Source organism: Homo sapiens, chromosome 21, assembly GCF_000001405.40.
Source record: "Homo sapiens chromosome 21, GRCh38.p14 Primary Assembly".
NCBI classification, from domain to species: domain Eukaryota; kingdom Metazoa; phylum Chordata; class Mammalia; order Primates; family Hominidae; genus Homo; species Homo sapiens.
The window spans coordinates 44,215,440-44,241,869 of record NC_000021.9 but is presented as its reverse complement, the minus strand read 5'-3'; the positions used below and the strand labels follow the sequence as shown (position 1 = coordinate 44,241,869).

At 56.8% G+C, this 26,430-nt stretch overlaps 1 protein-coding gene across 12 annotated transcripts, besides 8 other annotated features; it reads left to right on the top strand.

Annotated features, from left to right (window-relative positions):
* Positions 117 to 1,116: a transcriptional cis regulatory region, noted in NCBI's record as "chr21:45660637-45661636 region (GRCh37/hg19 assembly coordinates) targeted for CRISPR interference". NCBI's record gives its function as "positively regulates ICOSLG and IFNGR2 gene expression in GM12878 lymphoblastoid cells {active_cell/tissue: GM12878}" and the evidence as "EXISTENCE:mutant phenotype evidence [ECO:0000015][PMID:33828297]".
* Positions 192 to 1,116: a transcriptional cis regulatory region, noted in NCBI's record as "chr21:45660637-45661561 region (GRCh37/hg19 assembly coordinates) targeted for CRISPR interference". NCBI's record gives its function as "positively regulates ICOSLG gene expression in THP-1 monocytic cells {active_cell/tissue: THP-1}" and the evidence as "EXISTENCE:mutant phenotype evidence [ECO:0000015][PMID:33828297]".
* Positions 201 to 1,116: a transcriptional cis regulatory region, noted in NCBI's record as "chr21:45660637-45661552 region (GRCh37/hg19 assembly coordinates) targeted for CRISPR interference". NCBI's record gives its function as "positively regulates ICOSLG gene expression in anti-CD40- and anti-IgM-stimulated BJAB lymphoma cells {active_cell/tissue: BJAB(+anti-IgM and anti-CD40 for 4hr)}" and the evidence as "EXISTENCE:mutant phenotype evidence [ECO:0000015][PMID:33828297]".
* ICOSLG (inducible T cell costimulator ligand) lies at positions 927 to 24,889 on the top strand. 12 transcript variants are annotated; one of them, XM_047440730.1, is made up of 8 exons: positions 927 to 1,066; positions 3,046 to 3,145; positions 3,382 to 3,422; positions 4,653 to 5,003; positions 6,308 to 6,598; positions 10,426 to 10,590; positions 11,781 to 11,816; positions 23,626 to 24,851. In XM_047440730.1, the coding sequence occupies exons 4-8, from the start codon at positions 4,679 to 4,681 to the stop codon at positions 23,811 to 23,813; spliced, it is 1,005 nt and encodes a 334-aa protein (XP_047296686.1). In that variant the 5' UTR covers positions 927 to 1,066; positions 3,046 to 3,145; positions 3,382 to 3,422; positions 4,653 to 4,678; the 3' UTR covers positions 23,814 to 24,851. The 12 variants fall into 12 exon arrangements, with proteins under 12 accessions (XP_047296686.1, XP_011527816.1, NP_001269981.1 ...); XM_011529514.4 differs by lacking the exon at positions 3,046 to 3,145 and having other exon boundaries at positions 23,626 to 24,889; NM_001283052.2 differs by lacking the exons at positions 3,046 to 3,145; positions 23,626 to 24,851 and adding an exon at positions 12,826 to 18,879 and having other exon boundaries at positions 4,805 to 5,003.
* Positions 1,672 to 2,450: an enhancer, noted in NCBI's record as "H3K4me1 hESC enhancer chr21:45659303-45660081 (GRCh37/hg19 assembly coordinates)". NCBI's record gives its function as "activates a minimal SCP1, AML or CMV promoter by ChIP-STARR-seq in naive H9 embryonic stem cells {active_cell/tissue: H9 hESC(naive)}" and the evidence as "EXISTENCE:reporter gene assay evidence [ECO:0000049][PMID:30033119]".
* Positions 15,070 to 15,570: an enhancer, noted in NCBI's record as "H3K4me1 hESC enhancer chr21:45646183-45646683 (GRCh37/hg19 assembly coordinates)". NCBI's record gives its function as "activates a minimal SCP1, AML or CMV promoter by ChIP-STARR-seq in primed H9 embryonic stem cells {active_cell/tissue: H9 hESC(primed)}" and the evidence as "EXISTENCE:reporter gene assay evidence [ECO:0000049][PMID:30033119]".
* Positions 15,571 to 16,071: an enhancer, noted in NCBI's record as "H3K4me1 hESC enhancer chr21:45645682-45646182 (GRCh37/hg19 assembly coordinates)". NCBI's record gives its function as "activates a minimal SCP1, AML or CMV promoter by ChIP-STARR-seq in naive H9 embryonic stem cells {active_cell/tissue: H9 hESC(naive)}" and the evidence as "EXISTENCE:reporter gene assay evidence [ECO:0000049][PMID:30033119]".
* Positions 18,029 to 18,528: an enhancer, noted in NCBI's record as "H3K4me1 hESC enhancer chr21:45643225-45643724 (GRCh37/hg19 assembly coordinates)". NCBI's record gives its function as "activates a minimal SCP1, AML or CMV promoter by ChIP-STARR-seq in naive H9 embryonic stem cells {active_cell/tissue: H9 hESC(naive)}" and the evidence as "EXISTENCE:reporter gene assay evidence [ECO:0000049][PMID:30033119]".
* Positions 18,529 to 19,030: an enhancer, noted in NCBI's record as "H3K4me1 hESC enhancer chr21:45642723-45643224 (GRCh37/hg19 assembly coordinates)". NCBI's record gives its function as "activates a minimal SCP1, AML or CMV promoter by ChIP-STARR-seq in naive H9 embryonic stem cells {active_cell/tissue: H9 hESC(naive)}" and the evidence as "EXISTENCE:reporter gene assay evidence [ECO:0000049][PMID:30033119]".
* Positions 24,890 to 26,430: the final 1,541 nt, after the last annotated feature.

Sequence of the window (26,430 nt, the reverse complement as noted above, 5' to 3'; positions counted from 1 at the left end):
AGGCCCTTCCGGAGGTGCCTCTGCAGAAAGGGAGTCACGTCCCCCCTGGGCCTCACCTGGCTTGCAGGGATCAGGGAGGGAGGGCGGGGTGGGCTGGGTGCGGTGGGGAAGGAGCAGGGACTCTGGGTCCCACCCTCGGTTGCGTGGTGCAGCCTTTCCCAAACCAGCTGCCCCAGACTCCAGGCCAGACGCCACTGCCAAGGCTGACGAGCCCAGAGCCGCAAGCCTGCCTCGGTTTCTCGGCGGGGGATCCTCAGAGCCAGTGTTAAGCAAAGAGGCTGCGCCAGCGCCCTTCACACCCCTAGAAGGCTAGGGGAGCAAGGCTAGGTGGGGGCGGGCTGGGGCTGGCCCAGAGGGTAGAGCCCGCCCACTTTCCCTCCCTCCTTCCATTCATGCATGCGTTCATTCAGTCATTCATTCCTCAGCAGTCGCTGAGCTCACTCGCCTTAAGTCCTGGAGATCATCGGAGCGCAGCCGGCCAGGGGCCTGGCGCTCTCCCAGCCTTGGGGCCTGGGTCCCCGGACTCCTGCTCGGGGAGGGCCGCAGGACCGGCGCATTGTGCGCGGCGCGGGGAACGGCCCTTGCCTCCCACGGTGCCCTCCCTCGCTGCGCCGGCACCCGCAGCACCCCTGGCCACCTTCCTGCCGGGTACCCCCCACCCCTGCGCTTCCCAGGGCACCTACGGCGCCCAGGTCCGCGTCCAGGCGGACAGGCCGACCTGCCTCTGTCCCGCCTCCGGCCGACGGGCACACGCCTGGGCAGAGCCGAACTTTCCGGAGCCGCCGCGCAGCGCCCCGCCTCCTGTCCCGGGGCGGTCTCGGTCGCCAGAGGAGCCAGGCCGGGGGCGGGGCGGGGACGGGGCGGGGACACGGCTGCCTCCAGCACACCGCGCGCTGGGCGCTCAGAGCCTCGGGCGCGGCGGGAGCGCAGTTAGAGCCGATCTCCCGCGCCCCGAGGTTGCTCCTCTCCGAGGTCTCCCGCGGCCCAAGTTCTCCGCGCCCCGAGGTCTCCGCGCCCCGAGGTCTCCGCGGCCCGAGGTCTCCGCCCGCACCATGCGGCTGGGCAGGTGAGCCGGGGAAGGAGCGGAGGCGCCGCGGTCAGGGGCGGGGTGGCTCGGCCCGCGCGTCCCCAGCTCGGCTCGGACGCGGGGCCTGCGGGGCTCGCCTGGAGGTGCCGGGCTGGCAGTGCGGGTCCGAGGAGCGGGCGGCGGAGGCGCCGGGGCGGCCGGCGGGGCGTGGACGGCAGTGGGCGGCGGGGCCTGGCACCGGGACCCATGGCAGGACGCACAGCCGTGCGGGGGCGGGCTCGGGGGCGGGGTCCCTGCCAGGGAAGGAGGACCGCGAACGCTGGAAGGAGGGAGGGAAGGCGGGCGCACCCTGCACGCCGGGGCACGGGCGCTGCCCCTTCCACTCCCTGGCACTGCTGATTTCCTAGAAGAAGGGAGAAGGAGGGAGGTGACCGGCCGAGCGCTCTCCAAGGCCAGCTGGTGCCCACGGTCTGCGGACACGCCCTCCCCCACACACGTGGGATTCCCCGCAGCCCGGCAGCCGATCCACACTGGGGAAGGCGGGGCTGCCTGAACCAGGAGTGACAGCTTCCTCCTGGATTTTTGCGAAAATATCCAAAATATACTCTTCGCAACCCACGTTGTAGGGTCCGCAGCCTGTGCTCCCCTGGGTGAACCTGTGAGGCCCCTGACCCCAGGGATGCCTCCCGCACAGCTCAGAGCTGGGCCACACCGGAGTCACACTCCCCAGGTCCCCTCCCCATTAGAAGTGTATGCAGTTATGATCCTGCCCTAGAGAGAAAGAATTTAAAGGTCCCGGAATGTCATAGCCCTCCCAAATGTCTTAGCCCTCCGCCACCCACACCTTCAGGTAGGCGGCCCTGTCCATGCTGGGTCTTGAGGCAAGCTCGGGGTGGGGGTAGGTTAGATGCAGGGGTGCTGAGGGTCCAAGGAAAGGACACAGAGGCCGCTGCTTAGGCAGCACCCAGGGAGGGGACAAGCCAGAAACAGCCTGGAGCAGGCACCCCCCACCCTGGCCCAGGAAGCCCCCAGATGTCCTGAGGAGGCCTCCATAGACAGGAGGGGCCTTGTGGGCTGGTGATGAATATGGGCACTGTGGGAGACAAATGGGGGCACAGAGGAGTTCTCACAGCTGTCGTTTAGATGGTGGCTCTGGGGAAATGCTTGAAGGGGCTAAGGGTGGAGGCAGGGGGCCTGCTGGAGGCCATCACAGCCATCTTGCCAGCCAGAATGGTGGCCCCAACAGGGGGAGTGGGAGAGAGAGGAAGGGCCGCCTGCAGACTTCAAGAGCCCCTGGTGGCCAGGGGCCGCCTTGGTGCATGTGTGCTCACTTGGCACAGACACACCTCCATGCAGACTCAGATGACAGCCATCGTGGGTGGGGCAGGGGTTTCTGTGGCTCCAGGGCTCAGGGACAGCCCACTGGGAGGTTCCCACAAGACCAACCTTTGACTTACAAAGCCCCCAAGCTTTCCCAGGCAGAGGCCACAGAGAAGAGGGATGAGCGTCTCCCAGACCTTGGAGGTGCAGGGACATCAGAGAAGGAGATGTCCCTGCTCCTGGGGCTCTTGCTTCATGGGGAGCTGGCCCCAGAAACTGATGGTTTGGGGGGCTGGGGTAAGCACTGCTACCAAAGTGGTCCCGGCCACTAAGGGCCCCCACGTGGGGAAGGCATCCTGGGGGCTGGCGGGAGGAGGTGGCGAGCCTGTGGCGTGCAGGGTGCAAAGGCTCCCAGACCCAAGATGGCAGGGGCATTGGAGTCACGAGGGGAATTTGCTGCCCGAGGCAGGGGCACCAGCTGCAGCAGGATCTGAAACAGGAGGAGCTCAGGTTTGGTTTCAAAATGATCCGCGTTCCGCACAGGGCTGTCCCGTCACTCACCTGACCCTGTCACGGGCACGCCTGATGTTCTCCGTCTCCCCAGCATTTTAAGTGACACTCCTACTATATGTGCCCTGAAAGCTTTTTTTTTTTTTTTTTTTTCTGATTTCCTACAACTTCTTGGCATCTGTCCCCAGGAAGGCTAGACCAGCCTCACTGGCGTCCCTCGCTCCCCTTCATCCTCACGCCAGCATCACTGTGTTTCTGGGGATTTGTTACCGCGAGAGCTAGAGAGTGGTGAGAGGCTGCCAGCCCCTCGGACTTGCTGTGCTGGGCAGGAGGGTGGTGGTCCTGGCCCCGGACCCCGAATTCCCATGGAGAACAGAGGCAGGCAGGCTCCTGGCTCTGCCTTCACATTTCTGTGATGGGCTTAACTACCTCCTGCTCATGGGAACCAGCCTGTTCCTGTTTGGAAGATACAGGTAACTCCCTGGTGGCCCCGCCTCACCTGCCTTTCTGGTTGTTTTTTCCAGTCCTGGACTGCTCTTCCTGCTCTTCAGCAGCCTTCGAGCTGGTAAGTTCAGGGGGTGCTTTGCCATGGGGCGCCCAGCTCAGAGATGGGCTCTCCGGCTGTGTGGACTGCTGGCCGCAGGGCACTGGGAGCAGCCTCACCAGGCTCCTTCTTGCTTCTCAAGTGGTCCTTTGGAGACAGTTGGACCCTAAACCTAGGTTGCTGCACAGGATAGAAGCGTTTCCTTAAAGGGAAACACTTCTGCAAACTCCGGAGTTCTTGTTTGACTCCGTCTTTGTTGCGGGCAGAATGCAGTTCCTCTGAGCCAGGGCTTCCTGGGTCCCCTGGTCTCCCTGTCCCAGGCAGCAGCCCTGCTGAGCCCTAAGAGCCACCAGCCTCTGGAAGAGCCAGGAATAAGGACGAAGCACCGCAGCACAAACCTGAAACCTTGCCAAGCCTTCCAGCCCAGAGGGCTTTGGGGGCAGGGGACACACACAGATTTTCCTGCAGGTGCCAGGTGCAGTGGCTCACTCCTGTAATCCCAGGACTTTGGGAGGCCAAGGCGGGTGGATCACCTGAGGTCAGGAGTTCGAGACCAGGCTGGCCAACATAGTGAAGCCCGATCTCTACTAAAAATACAAAAAATTAGCTGGGCATGGTGGCGGGCACCTGTAATCCCAGCTACTTGGGAGGGTGAGGCAGGAGAATGGCGTGAACCCCAGAGTCGGGGGTTGCAGTGAGCTGAGATCACGCCATTGCACCCCAGCCTGGGTGACGGAGCAAGACTCCATCTCAAAAAAAAAGATTTTCCCACAGGCATTTACGTAGCTGCACAAACAGTAAAGCTACCCTGTGTCTGCCACATTTGTGACAGCTTTCCTACTGCAAGTGAGCAGCAATATAATGTAATTGCTGAGAAATTCTTTTCCCTTAAATGCCTTTCCCTTAAAGAACTTTTTATTGTGCATTAATTATAGACTCCCGAGAAGTAGTAAAAGTAGTGCTGAGTAACAAAAATAACACTGAGCGGCCAGGCCCCATCCAGCCGCTCCTCCCCATGGCAGCCCCTTACATAACAGGAGTGTGTCATCGAAGCCAAAGACTGACATGGACCTCACCATGAAATGTCTGCGTTTTTCAAGTTTGACTGCATTCCTACATGTGCCTTGTTAATAAATTCTGAGCCACCGTTGGTGTTTGAGGCTTGAAACCCAAAGTCTGCCCCATAGAGTAGCTTCATGGCCTGGGCATCAGCCTCCGAAAACAGATTTTGCACCTTTTGGGCCATTGCAGATACTCAGGAGAAGGAAGTCAGAGCGATGGTAGGCAGCGACGTGGAGCTCAGCTGCGCTTGCCCTGAAGGAAGCCGTTTTGATTTAAATGATGTTTACGTATATTGGCAAACCAGTGAGTCGAAAACCGTGGTGACCTACCACATCCCACAGAACAGCTCCTTGGAAAACGTGGACAGCCGCTACCGGAACCGAGCCCTGATGTCACCGGCCGGCATGCTGCGGGGCGACTTCTCCCTGCGCTTGTTCAACGTCACCCCCCAGGACGAGCAGAAGTTTCACTGCCTGGTGTTGAGCCAATCCCTGGGATTCCAGGAGGTTTTGAGCGTTGAGGTTACACTGCATGTGGCAGGTAGGACCATCGAGGCGGGGAGAGCTAGGTCCATCCCAGCCTCACATCGTGGACAAGTGTTCATGAAACCCCCTCCCTGGCTCATTCACTGTTTCTTCCAGTGAAGAAAATTCTCATCTGTGTTATCAGGCTTCTGTCTAACTTCGAGGGAAACTAAACAGCTGAAAAATCCTTAGTGCATGACCTGCGGCTGCTTGGTTTCCCGGAAGAGCTCCTACCCTTGCTGTCTTTGCCTCTTGAGTTAGTTAGCTTTTGTTTTTGTTTTTGTTTTTTGAGACGGAGTCTCGCTCTGTCACCCAGGCTGCAGTGCAGTGGCACAATCTTGGCTCACCGCAACCCCCGCCTCCTGGGTTCAAGCAATTCTCCACAGCCTCCCGAGTAGCTGGGACTACAGGCGCGTGCCACCACACCCAGCTAATTTTTGTATTTTTAGTAGAGACAGGGTTTCACCATGTTGGCCAGGCTGGTCTCAAATTCCTGGCCTCGTGATCCGCCCGCCTCAGCCTCCCAAAGTGCTGGGATTACAGGTGTGAGCCACCGCGCCTGGCCAATTAGTTTGTTTTTTGAGACAGGGTCTCACTGTTGCCCAGGCTGGAGTGCAGTAGCGTGATCACGCTGCAGCCTTGACCTCCTGAGCTCAAGCAATTCTCCTGCTTCAGCCTCCTGAGTATCTGGGACTACAGGCACATGCCACCTCGCCTGGCTAATTTTGATTATTTGTAGAAATGGGGTCTCACTATGTTGCCCAGGCTGGTCTCAAACTCCTGGACACAAGCGATCCTCCTGCCTCACCCTCCCAAAGTGCTGTGATTACAGGCGTGAGCCACCACATCCAAACTAGAGTTTTAAAAGTGAAATTTGAAGGGAACTCTATAAAGCACTAAATGAGAACAAAATTTAAGAGAAAAATAAGAGGCAACCAAGGAGCTCTGGGCAGTTCATTGGGGAGAACAGCTGTGTCCATTTCAGATGGACTGTGAGCCCCTGTGTCAGCAGTGAGAATGACCAGATCCAAATGAGGGGGTCCCGGCACAGCCGACGGCTGTGGAGTGGGGGGTCTGTGGGTGCCAGTCACTGCCCGACAGGCTCAGCGGTCCCTGGCTACTGGGACTGGCTTGGGGGATGACTCTTGGGCAGGACAGGGCGGAGCCTGCTGCTCGGACCACAGCCCTGGTCCTGGCCTGTCACCCATGTCGGGGCACAATGGGCCGCCTCCCCTCTGACCCAGCCTTGGCACCGTGTACCCTCTGTTTCTTGACCAGCAGGGTCTGGCATCTCTCACAATCTGTTTCCCTCCCCTGCAGCAAACTTCAGCGTGCCCGTCGTCAGCGCCCCCCACAGCCCCTCCCAGGATGAGCTCACCTTCACGTGTACATCCATAAACGGCTACCCCAGGCCCAACGTGTACTGGATCAATAAGACGGACAACAGCCTGCTGGACCAGGCTCTGCAGAATGACACCGTCTTCTTGAACATGCGGGGCTTGTATGACGTGGTCAGCGTGCTGAGGATCGCACGGACCCCCAGCGTGAACATTGGCTGCTGCATAGAGAACGTGCTTCTGCAGCAGAACCTGACTGTCGGCAGCCAGACAGGTAAGGTCCCGGCGCCTGCGTGCTGAGCTGTGCCCGACAGTGGGGCCAGGGCTGGCTTGGGAGAGCCTCTGAGGTAGGAGACAAAAAGTCCCTTCGACGCGGCTCAGCACCCGAAAGGTGGTTGGAAGGGAGGGGAGGTGAGAGGCACATGCCGCACAGTGAGAACCACCGCGGTCTCTGGGAACAGGAATGGGTGCCGTGCCCAGTGCATATTGCTCCATTTTCTTCACCTGGAGTCGGTTTTCTTAAACCTACTTTACAGATGAGGGCTGAACTCTGAGGCTGGGTAACACTTCAGAAGCCGCAGCACTAGGCAGCAGCAGCCCAGAACAGAAGCCCACAGCTGTGCAGCCCCCACCCAAGCTCCCTGCCTCTTGGGCGTGTGTCCCCTGAGAAGACTGAAGCCCCCAGACACGGGAATCCCACTGCGCACGGCTGCTGGCCCAGCCCCTCCCTGTGGAAGGGGTGCCCTGTGGAAGGGGTTCCTCTACGGGGACTCCTTTGTAGAGGACACAGGCCCTCCCCATTTGTGTCCCCATCTCCTGTGTCAGGATGAGAGGCAGAAGATGGAGGCAGGAGATGATCGAGGAGGGGTCCTGGGGCCCTGCTGGCTGCAGGAAAGGGGCTGCCAGCAGGACTCACCGTGTGGCCCTGGGCAAAGCAAGAATGCAGGGCTCCTTGTTTCGGGAGCATTAAGAATTCCAGACAGTGACCACAAGCATTGCACCTCCTGCCGGCCTTTCTGAGCTCAACCCCAGAAGCCTGCACAGGTCATACCCTCGAAGTCCACCCTGGCCGCCAGGATCCCCGGCAGAGCCGGACCTTCTCCTTCTTGAAATCAGGGCTCAGCCCTTCTGACTCAACATTCAGAGTGTCTGAGCTGCATGCAGCGGGATGAGGGGCTGCTCCCAAAGCAGCCTCTGATAACTGCCTTCCAGCCAGCATACTCCCCGCAGAGCAGCCCAGGTGGCAGCAGAAGCTTCTCCCAGGGCTGTCGTCTCAACCCCGGCCACACAGTGGGGTCATCTGGGCAGCCTATGAAAGCCCCCATGCCCAGACCCATTGCACCTGAAGCTCTGGGCTGGCACCTGGCATCGGGACAGTGTCTAAAAGCTTCAGAGGTTCAAGGTTGAGCACCGTCCAGGTGGTTTCTCCAAGTGTGTTTGGAGACGCGCCGGGCATTCAGAACAAGCTCCCAGGGGGATGCCGCTGCTTGTTTGCCGGTGAGGACGGCTCTCTGAAGGGCACTGCACACAGAGACCAGAGGCATTGTTAGCTTTGTGCATCGTGGCGGAAAAGCAGAAGGGCGCAGCTGCCATGGGGAACGTTGTGGCAGTTCCTCGAAAAGCTCAGCGTGGAAGCACTGCAGGACCCAGCAGTTCTCTCCTAGCGATATAGGCCAGAGGATTCAGAACAGGGACTCAAACAAATGCCTGTCCGTGAATGTTCATGGCAGCCAGAAGGTAGGAACCACCCGAGTGTTCCTCGTGGGTGGACGGATGCACCAAACGTGATCCATGCGTGCAGGGGAGAATTAGCCTGAAAAAGGAAGGAGGCCGCTGTCCTGACGCACGCTGCGGCGTGGAGAACCTCAAGGCCATTATGCGAGTGACAGAGCCAGACACCTGAGGACAAGCCTGTGGGACTCTGTTTATGCAAAGTGTCCAGAATAGGGTGAGCCACTGAGACACAAAGCAACTGGAGGCTTCTGGTGCAGGAGGACAGCAATTCTCCTGCCTCAGCCTCCTGAGTATCTGGGACTACAGGCACATGCACCTCGCCTGGCTAATTTTGATTATTTGTAGCGATGGGGCCTCACTGTGTTGCCCAGGCTAGATTCAAGCTCCTGGACACAAGCGATGCTCCTGCCTAAGCCTCCCAAAGTGCTGAGATTACAGGTGTGAGCCACCACGTCCAAGCTAGAGTTTTAAAAGTGAAATTTGAAGGGAGTGCCATGAAGCACTAAATGAGAACAAAATTTAAGAGAAAAATTAGAGGCCCCAGCTGTTCTGAGACCCCCTCATTTGGATCTGCTCCTTCTTGCTGCTGACACGGGCTCACAGTCCATCTGAAATGGACACGACCATTCTCCCCGATGAACTGCCCAGAAAGACAGCAGACGGCAGGGAAGAGTGGGGAGTGACTGCTCATGGACACAAGGTTCCCTTTTGGGGGTTACAGGTCCTGGAATTAGGTGGTGGTTATGATGGCACTGGCACCCTGAATTGTTCACTTTAAAATGGTTCATTTTGGGCCGGGAGGGGTGGCTCACACCTGATCCTAGCACTTCGGGAGGCTGAGGTGGGTGGATCATCTGAGGTCAGGAATTTGAGACCAGCCTAGACAACATGGCGAAACCCCTTCTCTACTAAACATACAAAAATTAGCCAGGTGTGGTAGCATGTGCCTGTAATCCCAGCTACCCGGGAGGCTGAGGCAGGAGAATTGCTGGAACCTGGGAGGCGGAGGCTGCAGTGAGCCGAGACCGCACCACTACACTCCAGAGTGGGCGACAGAGGAAGACTGTGTCTCAAAAAAGTAAATAAATAAATAAAGCATAAAGTGGCTCATTTTGGCTGGGCAAGGTGGTGCACACCTATAGTTGCAGCTACTTAGGAGGCTGAGGCAAGAGGATCACTTGAGCCCTAAGACCAACCAGAGCAATATAGTGAGATCTCATCTCTACCAAAAAAAAAATTAGCCAGGCCTGGTGGTGCACGCCTGCAGTCCCGGCTACTTGGGAGGCCGAGGTGGGAGAACTGATTGAGCCCAGGAGGTCGAGGCTGCGGTGACCTATGATCACACCGCTGCACTTCAGCCTGGGCAACACAGCAAGACCCTGTCTCAAAAGCTCAATAAATAAAATGAAATGGTTAATTTTATGTTATGTGGCTTTCACCTTTTTTTTTTTTTTTTTTTTTTGAGACGGAATTTCACTCTTGTTGCCCAGGCTGGAGTACAATGGCACGATCTCGGCTCACCGCAACCTCTGCCTCCCGGGTTCAAGCAATTCTGCCTCAGCCTCCCGAGTAGCTGGGATTACAGGCATGCACCACCACACCTGGCTAATTTTGTATTTTTAGTAGAGACAAGGTTTCTGCATGTTGGCCAGGTGTGTCTCAAATTCCCAACCCCAGGTGATCCACCCGCCTTGGCCTCTCAAAGTGCTGGGATTACAGGCGTGAGCCACCGTGCCTGACCTCACTTTGATTTTTAAAAATCCAGTAAGGGCCGGACGCGGTGACTCATGCCTGTAATCCCAGCATTTTGGGAGGCCGAGGTGGGTGGATCACAAGGTCAGGAGATCGAGACCATCCTGGATAACATGGTGAAACTCCGTCTCTACTAAAAAAATACAAAAAATTAGCTAGGCATGGTGGTGGGCACCTGTAGTCCCAGCTACTCGGGAGGCTGAGGCAGGAGAATGGCGTGAACCCAGGAGGCAGAGCTTGCAGTGAGCCAAGATCACGCCACTGCACTCCAGCGTGGGCAACAGAGCAAGACTCTGCCTCAAAAAAAAAGAAAAAAAAAATCCAGTAAGAACCTGTGCTTCCCACCATACCCAGCCCTATGGTCCCCTGGCTGTGGTTGGGGTTATCGCCCCTCCCAGGTAGGACGAGGAGGAACAAGATCCCTGCAGGAAATGAAGCCCCTCTGTAAGAGAAAACCCTCATCTCATCAGTTTGGTGTTTTTAAAACCTCAAAATCATGTCAGGGAAGTTCTCTGGAATAAATACTTCCTTGCAACACTTTCTACTCAAGGATGAAAAAAAAGACCCTTTTCCTCTAAGATCCTTTAAGTCGGGTTATTTTCCTCTTTCTTGTAGGAAATGACATCGGAGAGAGAGACAAGATCACAGAGAATCCAGTCAGTACCGGCGAGAAAAACGCGGCCACGTGGAGCATCCTGGCTGTCCTGTGCCTGCTTGTGGTCGTGGCGGTGGCCATAGGCTGGGTGTGCAGGGACCGATGCCTCCAACACAGCTATGCAGGTAGAGACGGCCCCATATTGTGGATGTTAGTGTTTGTCCTGTTGGTGTGAATGTTTGCCTGCTTTAACTTCCCTCACTGATACTGATTTAGCTTGAAACTTTATTGTGGTAGGCTGGGCACGGTGGCTCACGCCTGTAATCCCAGCACTTTGGGAGGCCGAGGCGAGTGGATCACGAGATCAGGAGATCGAGACCATCCTGGCTAACACGGTGAAACCCCGTCTCTACTAAAAATACAAAAAATTAGCCGGGCGTGTGGCAGGCGCCTGTAGTCCCAGCTACTCATGAGGCTGAGGCAGGAGAATGGCGTGAACCCGGGAGGCGGGGCTTGCAGTGAGCCGAGATCACGCCACTACACTCCAGCCTGGGCGACAGAGCAAGACTCTGTCCCCCCCAAAAAAACAAAGGAACTTTGTTGTGGTAGCACTAATATTCATGAGGCTTAGCAACCCGAACTATCCCACAAAGTGGTTTTGAAACCCAGCATCTCTGACATTCCTGACACTGCCAAGCCAGAAGGGCGCTGCGAGGTCTGCCCTGCAGGTCGGGTGGGCAGGGTGGCTTCTGCATGTAGAGGCCGGGGTGGTGGTCATTTCCAGGGAAGCCGCTGAGGCTGCCTTGAGCACTCCTGCCCTGTGGGTCTGTGACTCTGGCCAGCTCCGCGACAGAGCCCGGAGGTCTGTGTTTCAGCCATGTAAGACACAGCAGCAGGACGCAGTGGCGCAGGAAGCCCTGAACGTTGGCTGCAGTGATGGTCCTGATGACGGGGGGGGCTCTTCCCAGAACCCCCCAAGGGTGGCAGTCAATGGAGTGCAGGCGCAGTGGCCACGGAGTAGGGGCGGCTCCTGTGGGCTGCCCCTGGCTTTCCCATTTGTGGCCAATCTCAGTCATCCCAGAAACATCTTCCACGGCCATGATGCCACTGCTGGCTGGGCCGCAGAAGGGCCCCAGATCCAGGTCACAGCATTTTAAGTGCTTCCCAGGCACGTACCCCTTTAAGAGGATCTTTCTCAAAAGCCACGTGGCCTGGGGAGCCCCTCATCTGTGAGTGTTTTCCCCGCCTGGAGCTGGGAGCCTTGGGGAGACTTCCAAGTAGGGTGTTTAGGGGGCTGCTGAGAGCTCAGGAACACCAGGGGCTTTAGGGACACCCCCCATCGCTGCTGCCCTGACCATTTTGGTTTGTCCTCCAGGTGCCTGGGCTGTGAGTCCGGAGACAGAGCTCACTGGTGAGTTTGCCGTGGGAAGCAGCAGGTTCTGGGGGGCCCAGGGGAGGCTTGGCTGCCAGCTGTCTTTCAGAGTTTCAAAAAACTTTCAAAAGGCAAAAGTCCCTTGCCTTGAACAACTGTTGTTCCTGGAGACGCAGCGAAGCCCTCGATGGTGCGCATGGCATTTCCTGCAGCCTCCCCTTGGCATGGGATGGCATCCTGGTGTGCACTTTGTCACACTGCGATGGGATTTTCCCAACATGCACAGAAGCAGAGAGACGAGTGCTAGACCCCCGCGCTCCCCAGTGCCCAGCCCCGACCAGGGTGTCCAGGGCGGGTCCAGGCACCGGCGCCCAGCCCCCATGGGGTGTCCGGAGTGGGTCCAGGCACCGGCGCCCAGCCCCCGTGGGGTGTCCAGGGCGGGTCCAGGCACCGGCGCCCAGCCCCTGTGGGGTGTCCGGAGTGGGTCCGGGCACCGCCAGCTTCTCTCTGTGGCAGCCACTCCTGCAGCTCTCGTTTGCCCCTCAGTTCCAGGAGCAACATAGATGTGGATTCCTGTCCAATTTGGGAAAAATGTCCACACACGGTCACCCACCTGGCAGGTGCCTCTGGCTGCAAGGGGCGCTGGGCTTCGCAGGCAGGCCAGCCGGGCTCCCCGCCATGGGCCAGGATCCCCTCCGAGCCCTGTTTGCCGCCCAGGAGAAGGGGTTCCCCGGGGACAGTGGGCTCAGGGTGTGCGCAGCCACCATGCTGTGGTGTCACCTGTGGACCCAGGCGAGCTGATGGCCGACCGCAGAAACGCACTTCCAAGGCCAGGTCGGCCCATCCAGATGATGCAGGAACACAGCTTGCTAAAAACACGGCCGGCCTGTTCCCGTCGGAGCCAGTCGAAGTTCCCTGAACAGGCCGCTGTTTCCGAAGCTTTAAACCCTGTGTTTCCACCAAGCTGAGTCCTGAGAAAACCGACGTCTGCCTGCAGAAGGGAAAGGGGTGCTTCATGTTCCTCTCTCTCCTTCATCTCCCTTCCAAGGCCACGTTTGACCGGAGCTCACCGCCCAGAGCGTGGACAGGGCTTCCGTGAGACGCCACCGTGAGAGGCCAGGTGGCAGCTTGAGCATGGACTCCCAGACTGCAGGGGAGCACTTGGGGCAGCCCCCAGAAGGACCACTGCTGGATCCCAGGGAGAACCTGCTGGCGTTGGCTGTGATCCTGGAATGAGGCCCTTTCAAAAGCGTCATCCACACCAAAGGCAAATGTCCCCAAGTGAGTGGGCTCCCCGCTGTCACTGCCAGTCACCCACAGGAAGGGACTGGTGATGGGCTGTCTCTACCCGGAGCGTGCGGGATTCAGCACCAGGCTCTTCCCAGTACCCCAGACCCACTGTGGGTCTTCCCGTGGGATGCGGGATCCTGAGACCGAAGGGTGTTTGGTTTAAAAAGAAGACTGGGCGTCCGCTCTTCCAGGACGGCCTCTGTGCTGCTGGGGTCACGCGAGGCTGTTTGCAGGGGACACGGTCACAGGAGCTCTTCTGCCCTGAACGCTCCCAACCTGCCTCCCGCCCGGAAGCCACAGGACCCACTCATGTGTGTGCCCACAAGTGTAGTTAGCCGTCCACACCGAGGAGCCCCCGGAAGTCCCCACTGGGCTTCAGTGTCCTCTGCCACATTCCCTGGGAGGAACAATGTCCCTCGGCTGTTCCGGTGAAAAGTTGAGCCACCTTTGGAAGACGCACGGGTGGAGTTTGCCAGAAGAAAGGCTGTGCCAGGGCCGTGTTTGGCTACAGGGGCTGCCGGGGCTCTTGGCTCTGCAGCGAGAAAGACACAGCCCAGCAGGGCTGGAGACGCCCATGTCCAGCAGGCGCAGGCCTGGCAACACGGTCCCCAGAGTCCTGAGCAGCAGTTAGGTGCATGGAGAGGGTATCACCTGGTGGCCACAGTCCCCCTTCTCACCTCAGCAATGATCCCCAAAGTGAGAGGTGGCTCCCCCGGCCCCCACCACCCTCAGCAGCCCCACCCCACTCAACCCTGAGGGTCCCCAGGGTCCTGATGAAGACCTCCGACCCCAGCGCCAGGCTCCTCGGAGCCCAACAGTCCCAAGGGGGCAGGAGACGGGGTGGTCCAGTGCTGAGGGGTACAGCCCTGGGCCCTGACCAGCCCCGGCACCTGCCATGCTGGTTCCCGGAATGAATCAGCTGCTGACTGTCTCCAGAAGGGCTGGAAAGGATGCTGCCAGGTGACCCGAGGTGCACTCGCCCCAGGGAGATGGAGTAGACAGCCTGGCCTGGCCCTCGGGACACATTGTCTGCCCCGGGGCTATGGGCAAATGCCCCTCCTTCTTACTTCCCAGAATCCCCTGACATTCCCAGGGTCAGCCAGGACCTGTTACAGCCCTGGTCACTTGGAACTGACAGCTGTGTGAGGCCTGCACTTCTCAGACCCAGACTTAGAACAAAAGGAGGAGTGAGGACTCAAGGCTACAATGAGGTTCCAGTACTTGTTACAAGAAATTGGTTTTCTGCAAAAAAAGTCCCTACCTGAGCCTTTAGGTGAATGTGGGATCCACTCCCGCTTTTAACATGAAAGCATTAGAAGATGTGTGGTGTTTATAAAAGAACAGTTGTCATCACCGGGCATTGATTGGCAGGGACAAGGAGCTGCTTGGGTGTGGAAAGTTGGGGCGTTGGAAAGTGGGCTGTGGTGCCCATTTGCAGTGACTGTGAAGTGACTCCAGGACGGACCTGCGGGGGCACCCAGAGGTCCTAAGCCCCAGGACTGAGGGTCGTGCATCACCACTCGGGTGTCCCGGGAGGTGCCCTGGGCCCGGGGACCTCACAGGCAGGACGGCGACACTAATGCAGGGAGAGGGAGTCTGGCCCCAGCTTTTCCTATCAGAGGCGATTTTCCTTCACCAGGGGATGGGCAGGAAAGAGGCAGGGGCCCCAGAAGCTTCTGTCCCTCATGCCTGAGGGCACGGGGGACACTTGGAGGCTGCTGTCACCACTGTGCGTCCAAGGCCATGCTCTCTGCGGGTCAGTGCCTGAGTCTCGCCTCCCTGCTGGTCCCTGAAGCCCCCTCAGAAGCCCTGCCTGTCACGTCGGCATTTGTGAGACCTACCCTGTAACGCCTGCCCCTCTCAGCCCAACATCAGCTTCCTCTTTCTCCCTTGCTGTAGACAGGCTGGATTCCAGTGTTGGGACAGCCATCTCCAGAAACCTGACTTAAGAGAGTAAGATGCAAATCGTGCCTGTATCCAGTGGCTTTGGTGGGTGCAGGGAGTCTTGGGCACAGCCAGCTCAGCTGTCTGTGGTATGAGCAGGAACAGGTGCCACTCCTGCTCAGGGGACCCTGCCCTACACCAGGCTGTTCCGTCCCCCTGGAGGACATGGGGCCAGGTCTGGAGGCATTTTGGGTTGTCACAGCTGGGGGCTGTTCCTCGGCTTCAGCGGGTGGAAGCCTCAGATGCTGTTCAACATCTTCTGGACACGGGAGGCCCCGACAGAGAGAAGCGTCCACCCGCAAGTCCACAGTCTGAGGTCTCCCCTCAGAGACCCTGCCCTGCACACCCACCTCCAGCCAAAGGTCCTGCCTGCCCCAGGGCTCAGGGGAACCTTGCCGGTCTGTGGAACAGGAGAGGGGACTCTCGCCAGCTGCACCACCCTGCACGTAGTAGGTGTGCGGTAAACATCCACCAGGGAGGCTCCAGTCAAGGCTGGCAGATGGGGCGGTCCATCCCTAGGGCAGGTGACAGAAGGGAAAAGGCTGCCTGCTGGCCCCCGAGCCAGGTAGCACATGCTTGTGCCTCAGTTTCCCCTCCTGTAAAGTGAGGCGCTGGATCCAGGTTCTGTCTACTGGGCTCTGCAGCTTGGACGCTCCTAAGACCAAGCGACCCACCCTGGGGAGGGCAGCTATGGCTTTGGAATAGCTGTCCAGGCCCGGGTGCCTCCAAGACGGCCACCACACCCTGCCTGTGCTGCAGGGGTGCAGGGGTAAGGGGCAAGACTCCAGAGGCCTCCTCTCTGCATCTCCTTGTCTTCAGTGGCCGGAGGTGAGGCCTGAGCTCAGGGGAGGGGCTTCTGCCACGAACCCTATGGCGGGGCACAGCACACTTTTCCCAGGGAGGACCCCTGGGCCCCCTGCATTATCCCCAGCGGAGTGTGGGGTCACCTTCCAAGAGCGACATTGAGAAGCTCCAGCTCTAGGAGTGTGCAGACTCTTAACCAGGCAGGCCCAGGCCCTGGGGCACACAAAGGCGGGGCCTGCTCTCCCCAGCTGCCCCTGCCAATGGGGGCTGGACTGTCCTACCCTCCTCCCTTCTACCTCCCCACTGTCTTCCCTCTCCACTGTCACCACTGCCTCCCTCTTCCACTGTCCTCCATGCACTGCCCTCCCTCCACCTTCCCCCACCCCCACCACTCCCCATGCTGTCCCCAGGCTCCCCCCGCTCTCCCCCCTCCCCACTGTCCCCCTCCCCATGCTGTACCCAGCTCACCCCGCTCTCCCCTCTCCCCACTGTCCCCCCTCCCACTCCCCATGCTGTCCCCAGCTCACCCTACATGGACTTGGCGATGTCCTTCCATGGCTCACCGGTCTGAATTTCCATGATGAGCCGGGCCTGCAGCTTTGCTCCCCTATCCCTGCCCAGGCTGCAGCTGTCCATGCAGGGAGCGAGCTCCAGCACCTGCGGAGTCCTTCCGTGGGGGCCTCTCCGTGCCACAGCAGCCAGGGACCTCAGGTGCCTGTGCATGACACCACCGCCCATCCTCATCCTGAGCCAGCCTCTCAGGATCAGGACTTGGTTTGGCGGCGTTAACCTTAGAGCCTGCAAGGGGCTTCCTCCTGGTGGGTCTGGCCGTAGCCTGGGGAGGCCACAGCTCCAGGCCACTCCAGACCTCCCTTCCTCTGGGCCTTCCATGTGGTGGCAACCACCGCAGCTGTAAGGGAGGGAAAATGGAGCGTTTGTTCTCGGGCTGGGCTGGGGTCTGGGGGAAGCCATGGGCGTGAAGACTGGAGTATTATTTGATGGAGAAGCGGCCACTCCTGGAGACCGGCGGCAAACACAGAAGCACAGCGTGGAAGGTGCTGGTGTCAGCCCACACGGGTGATGGGGTCAGACTCAGGAGTCACACTCAGGAGTCACCAGGCTCAAAGGGCCCAGGCACCGCAAGTCCTGCTCAGCCCCAGACACAATGCATTCCTGTTGCCCTCGCCCTCAGCCAGGCCCCACGCAGGCCAGGGAGCACTGGCAAAGCTTGGCAACCCTCTGGGGGCCAGCCTTCATCCAGGCCGAAGGTGGTCAGTGGCCCACCATGGCCCAGGTAGAAAACTCACGGATTAAGATTTCATGCCCGACTCCAAAGGCAAGAGACTTTATTATTTTATTTTTTTTGAGCCAGAGTATCGCTCTGTCACCTAGGCTGGAGTGCAATCTCTGCTCATTGCAACATCTGCCTCCCGAACTCAAGCAATTCTGCCTCAGCCTCCCAAGTAGCTGGGATTACAGGTGTGCGCCACCATGCCCAGGTAATTGTATTTTTAGTAGAGACAGGGTTTCACCATGTTGGTCAGGCTGGTTTCAAACTCCTGACCTCAAATGATCTGCCCACCTCGACCTCCCAAAGTGCTGGGATTACAGGTGCGAGCCACCGCACCTGGCTACCAGACACTTCAGAGTTACAGGTTAGTTTTTCTTTTTCTTTTATTTTTTTTTTTTTGGCGGAGGTGCAGGGGGAGTTAAACAAACAAACAAAATAAACAGGCCGGGTGCGGTGGCTCATGCCTGTAATCCCAGCACTTTAGGAGGCCTAGGTGGGTGGATCACGAGATCAGGGGTTCAAGACCAGCCTGGCCGAGATGGTAAAACCCCGTCTCCACTAAAAATACAAAAATTGGCCAGGCACGGTGGCTCACACCTGTAATCCCAGTACTTTGGGAGGCTGAGGTGGGCAGATCACCTGAGGTCAGGAGTTCAAGACCAACCTGACCAACATGGAGAAACCCCATCTCTACTAAAAATACAAAATTAGCCAGGTGTGGTGGTGCATGCCTGTAATTCCAGCTACTCGGGAGGCTGAGGCAGGAGAATTGCTTGAACCCAGGAGGCAGAGGTTGCAGTGGGCCAAGATGGCGCCATTGCACTCCAGCCTGGGAACAAGAGCGAAACTCTGACTAAAAAAGAAAGAAAGAAAGAAAAAAATTAGTTGGGCACGGTGGCAGGCGCCTGTAATCCCAGGTACTCAGGAGGCTGAGGCAGGAGAATTGCTTGAACCCGGGAGGCAGAGGTCGCAGTGAGCCGAGATTGCACCACTGCCCTCCAGCCTGGGTGACAGAGCAAGACTCCGTCTCAAAAAAAAAAAAAAAAAAAATTGGATACATTGTAATACCTCAAATACTTGTAAGTGAAGCACCCCAGTTCCCATAGAGCTGCCGCACTCAGAGGCTTCTGTAACCTGCCTGCTCCCAGCATTCTATTTAGGGTCTGGTATGTCCAGAATTTGCAGACACAGCAATTCCTGCAGCAGCAGTGCACCATGTGGAAGGGGCCCCATGACCAGCCCACTGTGAGCTCACACGTGATGACTGAGGCTTCTTCACACAGCAGGGCTCTGGGTGTGATACCCAGGGCACACGCGTTTGCACAGGCACAGGCCACACAAGTTCTCACATGCTCAGCCCCATAAGCCGTGCTGGACAGGCATGGCCATTTACACCCAGGATCCTGCTGAGAACAGCAACCAACTCACCACCCTCGCATCATGATCCTTGCCACACAGGGGCTCTGGTGGCTTTGGTGGCCTGGGCTGTGGCTCTGCTGCCAGCCACCTTGAGTGAAGATCCGGGTTCTCTGGGTGCTACTCAGCTGCTATGTGGGGAGCTGGCCCCTGGGGTGATGAGGGCCCTTCCCAACCCGCCCTCAGCCCTTGGACAGCCAGGATCACCCGGGGCTGTCTGCATACAGACTTCTCAGGGGAGTTCTCAGCTTGGACCCTTATCTCCCCAGAATCCTGGAACCTGCTCCTTCTGCTCTCGTGACTGACTGTGTTCTCTATGCAACTTCCAATAAAACCTCTTCATTTGAAAGGAAAAAAGTCTGCATTATCTGTTTAGGAAGGGAGAGAGTTCATATTGCAATCTTTTTTTTTTTAATAAAAATAATCTCAGCCTGGGCAACATGGTGAGACCCCATCTCTGTAAAACATTTTTAAAAAATTAGCCGGGTATGGTGGCGCACACTTGTAGTCCCAGCTACTCAGGAGGCTGAAGCGGGAGGATCCATTGAACCTGAGAAGTCGAAGCTGCAGTGAGCTGTGATTGTGCCACTGTACTCCAGCCTGGACAACAGAGTGAGACGCCGTCTCAAATAAATAAATACATAAATAAAGGACTCTGAAGCCTTATTACCATGGTTCACTCTAAGTATTTTTGCTCTGAGGTGTGCTTCCATACATAACTTTCATTATGCCCATTAGGGTCCATAACTATAAAAATCCACAATTAAGTCATATTTTATATGCTAATTTGTCAGCCCGCCATGGTGGCTCACGCCTATAATCCCAGCACTTTGGGAAGCCAAGACGGGAGGATCGCTTGAGTGTAGGCGTTTGAGACCAGCTTGGGCAACATTGTGAAACCCTCTCTCTACAAAAAATACAAAAATTAGCTGGTTGTGGCGGCATGTGCCTGTAATCCCAGCTACTCAGGAAGCTAAGGTGGGAGGATCAGCTGAGCCCAGGGGTGTCGAGGCTGCAGTGAGCCATGGTTGTGCCACTGCACTCCAGCCTCGGTGACAGAGCAAGGCCCTATCTCTAAATAAATAAATAAATAAATAAAAATTAAAAACAGGCCGGTGCGGTGGCTCACGCCTGTAATCCCAGTGCTTTGGGAGGCCGAGGCGGGCAGATCACGGGGTCAGGAGATCGAGACCATCCTGGCTAACACGGTGAAACCCCATCTCTACTAAAAATACAAAAAATTAGCCGGGCGTGGTGGCGGGCGCCTGTAGTTCCAGCTACTCAGGAGGCTGAGGCAAGAGAATGGTGTGAACCTGGGAGGCGGAGCTTGCAGTGAGCCGAGATGGCACCACTGTACTCCAGCCTGGGTGACAGAGCGAGACTCCGTCTAAAAAAAAAAAAAAAAAAAAATTAAAAATAATTTGTCAATTGGCTGGGTGCGGTCCTGTAATCCTAGCACTTTGGGAGGCCGAGGTGGGCGGATCACCTGAGGTCAGGAGTTTGAGACTAGCCTGGGCAATATGGTGAAGCCCTATCTATACTAAAAATACAAAAGTTAACCAGGTGTGGTGGCGGGCGCCTGTAATCCAAGCTACTCAGGAGGCTGAGGCAGGAGAATTGCTTAAAACCGGGAGACAAAGGTTGCAATGAGCTGAGATCACGCCACTGCACTCCAGCCTGGGTGAGAGAGGGAGACTCCATCTCAACAACAACAAAAAAGTCAAGATAACATTTTTCTTAGGTATTCCCCTAATTTAGGTATTTAGAAATAATACCCTATGGTTGGATAAATCCAGATAATTACCAGATAGAGATTGGATATTGTCGAACATTATTGTTCAAATAATCTTTCATTTCTGCCAAGAAATCCTTTTGAGTAATTTGTGTTTGATCGAATTGCTTTTAACCAAATCATCTGTATTTTTTTCTTCTTTTACACATTACCCATATCCCTTTTTCCTGAACCCAGAATTCAATCACTTTGACCCTCTCTGCCTCTCATTCTCCCAAGCCACCCACAGGTGACAATCTTCACTTTAATTTGTCCTCTGCAGGGATCGAAATGGGAAAAACCCGGCCAGGTAAGCAGGCAGGGAGGACAGGCTGGAGTCGGGTGTGGGGAGTCAGCCACTGAGGTCAGGAGCCCTGCAGGCAGCAAGCCACCCGGGCTTAGGAGGGATGGTTTAGAAAGTATCAACAAAGGCTGGAAACAGTGGCTCACGCCTGTAATTCCAGCACTTTGGGAGGCTGAGGCAGGTGGATCATCTGAGGTCAGGCGTTCAAGACCAGCCTGGCCAACATGGCGAAACCCCATCTCTACAAAACTACAAAAAAGTTAGCCAGGCATGATGGTGGGTGCCTGTCATCCCAGCTACTCGGGAGGCTGAGGCAGGAGAATCATGGTGGCTGCTGAGGCAGCAGAACAAGGCTGTTCTGCTCTGCGGTTTGTGGGTTTGACACTCGTGGCCCAGGAGGCGGAGGTTGCAGCGCAGTGCAGTGGCCGAGATCGCGCCACGAGCCTGGGCAACAGAGCAAGACTCCATCTGAAAAAAAAAAAAGTATCAACGATGAAATTATCGACGATGGGGTAACCCCGGGAACCTCTCTGCCTCCACCGTGAAGAAGCATCAAGCAGAACCCGGCTGTGTGCAAGGGAGTCACATGCCTTCGGAAGAGCCCAGGTCTGGGCACAGCTGCCTGCTCAGACCAGAGGGAGGCCTGCCATGCCCCAGGAAGGCACTGGCTTGGAGTTTTTCTTCATTGTGAAGAATCACGATGACGAATTAGAATCAGTGAGTTTGGCACGAATGAGGTGCTTCCTCCAGGACGTTGCTGGAGGGCGCTGCTATAGCTGGCATCCCGGCCTGGAGGCACTTCCCCTCTCATTCTTCTCAGGAGTCAGTCCTGACTGAGACCTGCTCCCAGGGCAGGACTCTGGGCTTCAGGAGCGTGGTCCTGAGCCGCAGGGACATGGTGGCTGGTCTGCAACAGGCTTCCCATCCCGTGGACATGTGGACACTCCAGAGCCCTGGAATTTCAGCAACATCAGCCAACGGCCACAGGGACAACCACAGTAAAGCCAGCCTGCCAGCAGAAAAGTAACAGACTGAGCTAAAATCACCTCTGGAACTTCCTGTCTACCTGGACACCTGTCTACAGGGCCTGAGAGAGGAACTGACACTTTCTCCTCCAGCAGAGCCATGTCAGGAAGGAGCCTCTCCGGCAAAGGCTGCCCAGGCCCACCCGGACTCCACTCAGAGCCTGAGCCCTTGGTTCCCGTGAAGCTCTGAGGGCAGGTTGGCAGCCACAACACTGGGCCAGGACCCAAGATGGGGCAGGCCAGGCCCTCCACCAAGGGCCCAGACCCTCTATGCAAATGCAGGCCATGCCTGTGTGCAGCCAGGGGCCCCTGGGAGAATGCAGTGAGGAAGGGCAGGTGGATGTGCTTGGACTGAGACAGAAAGCTCCAGGGTGACGCTTGCCATGAGCGTGGGCACGACCCTCCTCCTCTTCCTCCTCCTCCTCCTCCTCTTCCTCCTCCTCCTCCTCTTCCTCCTCCTCCTCTTTCTTTTCCTTCTCTTCCAGGCACTTCCCCTGCAGCTGCAGTGGGAGGTGTTTCCAGATGCTGGAATGTGCTCCTGGGGCAGCAGCTCCCTGCCTGCTGGAGTCTCCTGGGCTCCTCTGCTGGGCTGTGCACACAGCACTGATCTTAGGGCACAGCCGGTGGGGAGGCCACACAGGGGAATCCTCCTGTGGCACTGGGGATAAAGGTCCTGTCTTCCAGCCGGGGGCAACTCCATCCAGTGTGGCCTAAGGCAAAACTTGGAATCCATGTTGACTGATTTTTGAGATGGTGTTTTGCGAACAGTAAAGGGATAGGCAAAGTTCTTGTTGTAAGCCACTCAGGCACCCTCCTGACAGAAGCCTGGGGATTCCGGAGGTAAAAGCTGTAAGGTTGGGAGTGGACCCTGGAGCCCACTCCCCCGACCCCCGACCCTCAATGAGGTTCTTTAGAAGACTGTGCCCTGGGGCTGCCCACACAGCCAGGCACTCTAGGGCCTGGGAAGACACTGCTCTCCCGTGCATGTCGGGGACACAGGCTTTCGTCCTCAGCAGTTGTGCAGGTCAGGTGGGGACTCAGGGAAGGCAGCCGGGCTGGGTGAGAGCTTAGACAGAGACAATGACCAGCCACAAGATGCAGTTAAACAAATACACAAACCTGCTTTCCAATGGTTTACAATGGATTCTGAACAGCCCGGGGCCCCAGAACAGCTAGATTCCTCACTCCTCTCCATTCTCAGGCCAACCTGTGGTCTCATTTTATAAAAAAGAGATTGGGCTGGTTTACTCAGCCAAGAAACATCGAAGAGATGGTACCTAAAACCAAGGGCTTTGGATCATCTGTCTGGCCCAGGGCGTCCCACCTCCCTGCCTCTGACAGGACTTCCCACCTCCCCGCCTCTGACTTCAGTTGGGAAGAGGATGGTGGCGGGAGATGGAGGATGAGGCCCTCCTCATCTGCTTGGCCAAGGCTGTTCTGCTCTGCGGTTTGTGGGTTTGACACTCGTGGCCTTGAAAGCAAGCCTCCCGGCCCAGCCTCCATCTTCCTGACAGTAGTGCTGCCTGTGAGTATTTGCATGGCACGGCAAAGTCACAGCTCAGCAGACACTCCTGATAACACTCTTAACAACACCATGCACAGGGGAGGGTGAGCACACTGCCCTTCTGGAGACCAGGAAACTCCCCGAAGCCTCAGGGTGATTGACCTGCCCCTGCCACGCCCCTAATAGCTCCATCTTCTCACTCCACCTTCCTGCCTCTTTCTGAGTCGTGGTTCCAGGTGCCTGCCTGCCCTGGGTGAGTGAAGCCACCAGTACACACCCAGTCACATTAGAACTGCCCAGTTCCATCCCAGGCCAGTGTAAACCAAAAATAAAACCCGAAGTCCCCAGCCAACTGAAGTGACCCCCGCTTGGCCATGTCCACCCCAGAGAAGCCTGAAAAACCTCCTCCTGGGTGGTCGCACAGGCCTCGTTATGTCACCGAGCAGCTCAGCTTCGAACTGTGTTTTAACACGGCCTTTCTTTCCTCCTTTCTCCCCAGTCTCAAGACATGGCTTTGAGCAAACTACAGATGTGCTTCCTTTCATCTTGAAATCCAGCCTGGGAGCAAGCTGTGAGCCTACTGCCTTCCCTCTCCCACCTGCAGCTCCCGGGCCCTGTGCACATTTGTTTATCTGGATGCTTGCTGAGTGCACACCATGCTCACCTGTCTGGTCATCTATTTCCTAGAAGCTTTGGGGGCCAGATCCTGGGACGAACCAGGCATCTCCAGAATTCCTTCCCCAGCAGGCGGGTTACTTTGAGGCCAGAGCTTACTCCTGGCTAAAGACTCACTGCAAGATTGACTGTGATTGATTTCTAATCTGGGGGCGACCCGCGATGGCGCAGCCCCTTCACCAGATGTGTTTGTGGTGGAAGTTATCCAAGTGACACGGCACCAAAACCTGTGATCGGTGGCAAATCCGTACAGGTCTGCGGCAGCCGCAATTCTCACCTCCTCAGAAGAAAGAATTCGACCAAGGGGCAGAAGGCAGAAGAAGAGACCGAGACAAGTTTTAGAGCAGGAGTGACATTTATTAAAAAGCTTTAGAGCAGGAATGAAAGGAAGGAAAGGACGCTTGGAAGGGGGCCAAGCAGGTGACTTGAAGGACAGGTGTGTGGTTTGACCTTCGACTTGGGGTTTTATATGTTGGCACGCTTCCGGGGTCTGGCCTGCCTTCTCCCCTGATTCTTCCCTTGGGGTGGGCTGTCCACATGTGCAGTGGCTGCCAGCCCTTGGGAGGAGCACGCGCTATGTGTTTACTGGAGTTGCGCGCCTGCTTACCTGAGGCGTTGTTCCCTTACCTGTCAAATGTCCCTAGGAGGCCATAGACCAGTTACACTCCACAATTTTGCCTTTTAATACACATGCTTGAGCCCACTCACCCAATGCCTGAGGTCTTATGGGGAAGGATTTTTCTGTCTGTTGGGAGGCTGCCTTTCCCTGGCGTTGGCTGTGACCAATTATTATTTTAGAGAGACAGTTAACAGCCACCCGACCAACACTGATGGTCGCCTGACATTCCTGGTTGGGAGGGCCCTCTCCTGCCCTGCTCATGTCTGACCAGCTGCCTACTGTAACAGATGGAACAATAACTCAAGAGAAGCCATCAGAGCAGGTCACCTGGCACCTCCTGGCCCCTGCCTCGCCTGCATTCCAGACCCCCTCTACACGTCCCTCTACAAATTGAAGAGTGGCCATTTTTGGAAAGGATTCCGGCCAATCTCCCCCTTGCTAGCATGAGAATGAAGCTCACGCTCTTTCTTTTTTCTTTCTTTTCTTTTTTTTTTTGAGACGGAGTCTCGCTCTGTCACCCCGGCTGGAGTGTAGTGGCGTGATCTCGGCTCACTGCAAGCTCCGCCTCCCGGGTTCACACCATTCTTCTGCCTCAGCCTCCTGAGTAGCTGGGACTACAGGCGCCCGCCACCGCGCCCGGCTAATTTTTTGTATTTTTAGTAGAGACGGGGTTTCACCGTGTTAGCCAGGATGGTGTCGATCTCCTGACATCGTGATCTGCCCGCCTCGGCCTCCCAAAGTGCTGGGATTACAGGTGTGAGCCACCGCGCCCGGCAGCTCACTCTCTTTCTATCACGCCCCACTCTTGTCATCGTGGCTTCTTTTTAAGCGGTGAGCAGCCAGACCTTTGCTGGTTACAGCCACAACCCTCCCTTTCAGAGTTGAGGCACAGCTGGCCAGTCCTGACATTAAAATCAGGATCCTAAGACGGATGGAACACACTCTATGTGGCAATAAGACACCAAATTCCAGCCTGACTCTGGTATAGCATCACGTGACGGATAGCAGACTCTGAAGGAAATGAGAATATTTTGCCTTAAAATATATTTCTTTGACATATTTTGAAAGGGTCCCACAGAACCATCCTTTCTCAGAGAAACTAGCACCCATAGAGAATCTCCACGAATGCAGCCAGGACTTCCTCTTCTAGTACTTTCCAGACCTAGGAGAGATTAACTGAGGGCCTGACACCTTTAAGGTCTGAAAAGGGACATTTGCCATCTATTCTCTCTGAGGGCTGCAATCTACAAGGCTTCATCTGCAAACCAAGGGCCTCGGCCCCCACACCCCTCATCTTAATTCCAGCCTTCCTTCCAGCTGACTTCACCTCTGTAGACAAAGCTTCACGCTTTCAATCAACCGTCAACTAAAGAATCGCAGAACCAGCCGGTGCAGTGGCTGATGCCTGTAATCCTAACACTTTGGGAGGCCGAGGTGGGCGGATCACTTGAGGTCAGGAGGTCAAGACCAGCCTGGCCAACATGGTGAAACCCCGTCTCTACTAAAAATACAAAAATTCACCAGGCATGGTGGTGGGCGCCTGTAATCCCAGCTACTTGGGAGGCTGAAGCACGAGAATCACTTGAACCCAGGAGGCAGAGGTTGCAGTGAGCTGAGATCGCACCACTGCACTCCAGCCTGGGCGACAGAGTGAGACACAGTCTCAAAAAAAAAAAAAAAAAAGAATCGTGGAACCTACCTATGACCTGTAAACCCTGCTCCAAGATCTCCTGCCTTTCAGGCCAAATCAGTGTGCACCTTCCACATTCTGATTTATGTCTTGGCCTGTAACTTGTGTCTTCCTGAAATGAGTAAAACCAAACTGTAACCCGGCCGCCTCGGGGCCACTCAGTCAAGCTGTAACCCGGCCGCCTCGGGGCCACTCAGTCAAGCTGTAACCCGGCCGCCTCGGGGCCACTCACTCAGGCTGTAACCCGGCCGCCTCGGGGCCACTCAGTCAAGCTGTAACCCGGCCGCCTCGGGGCGACTCACTCAAGGCTTCCTGGGTTT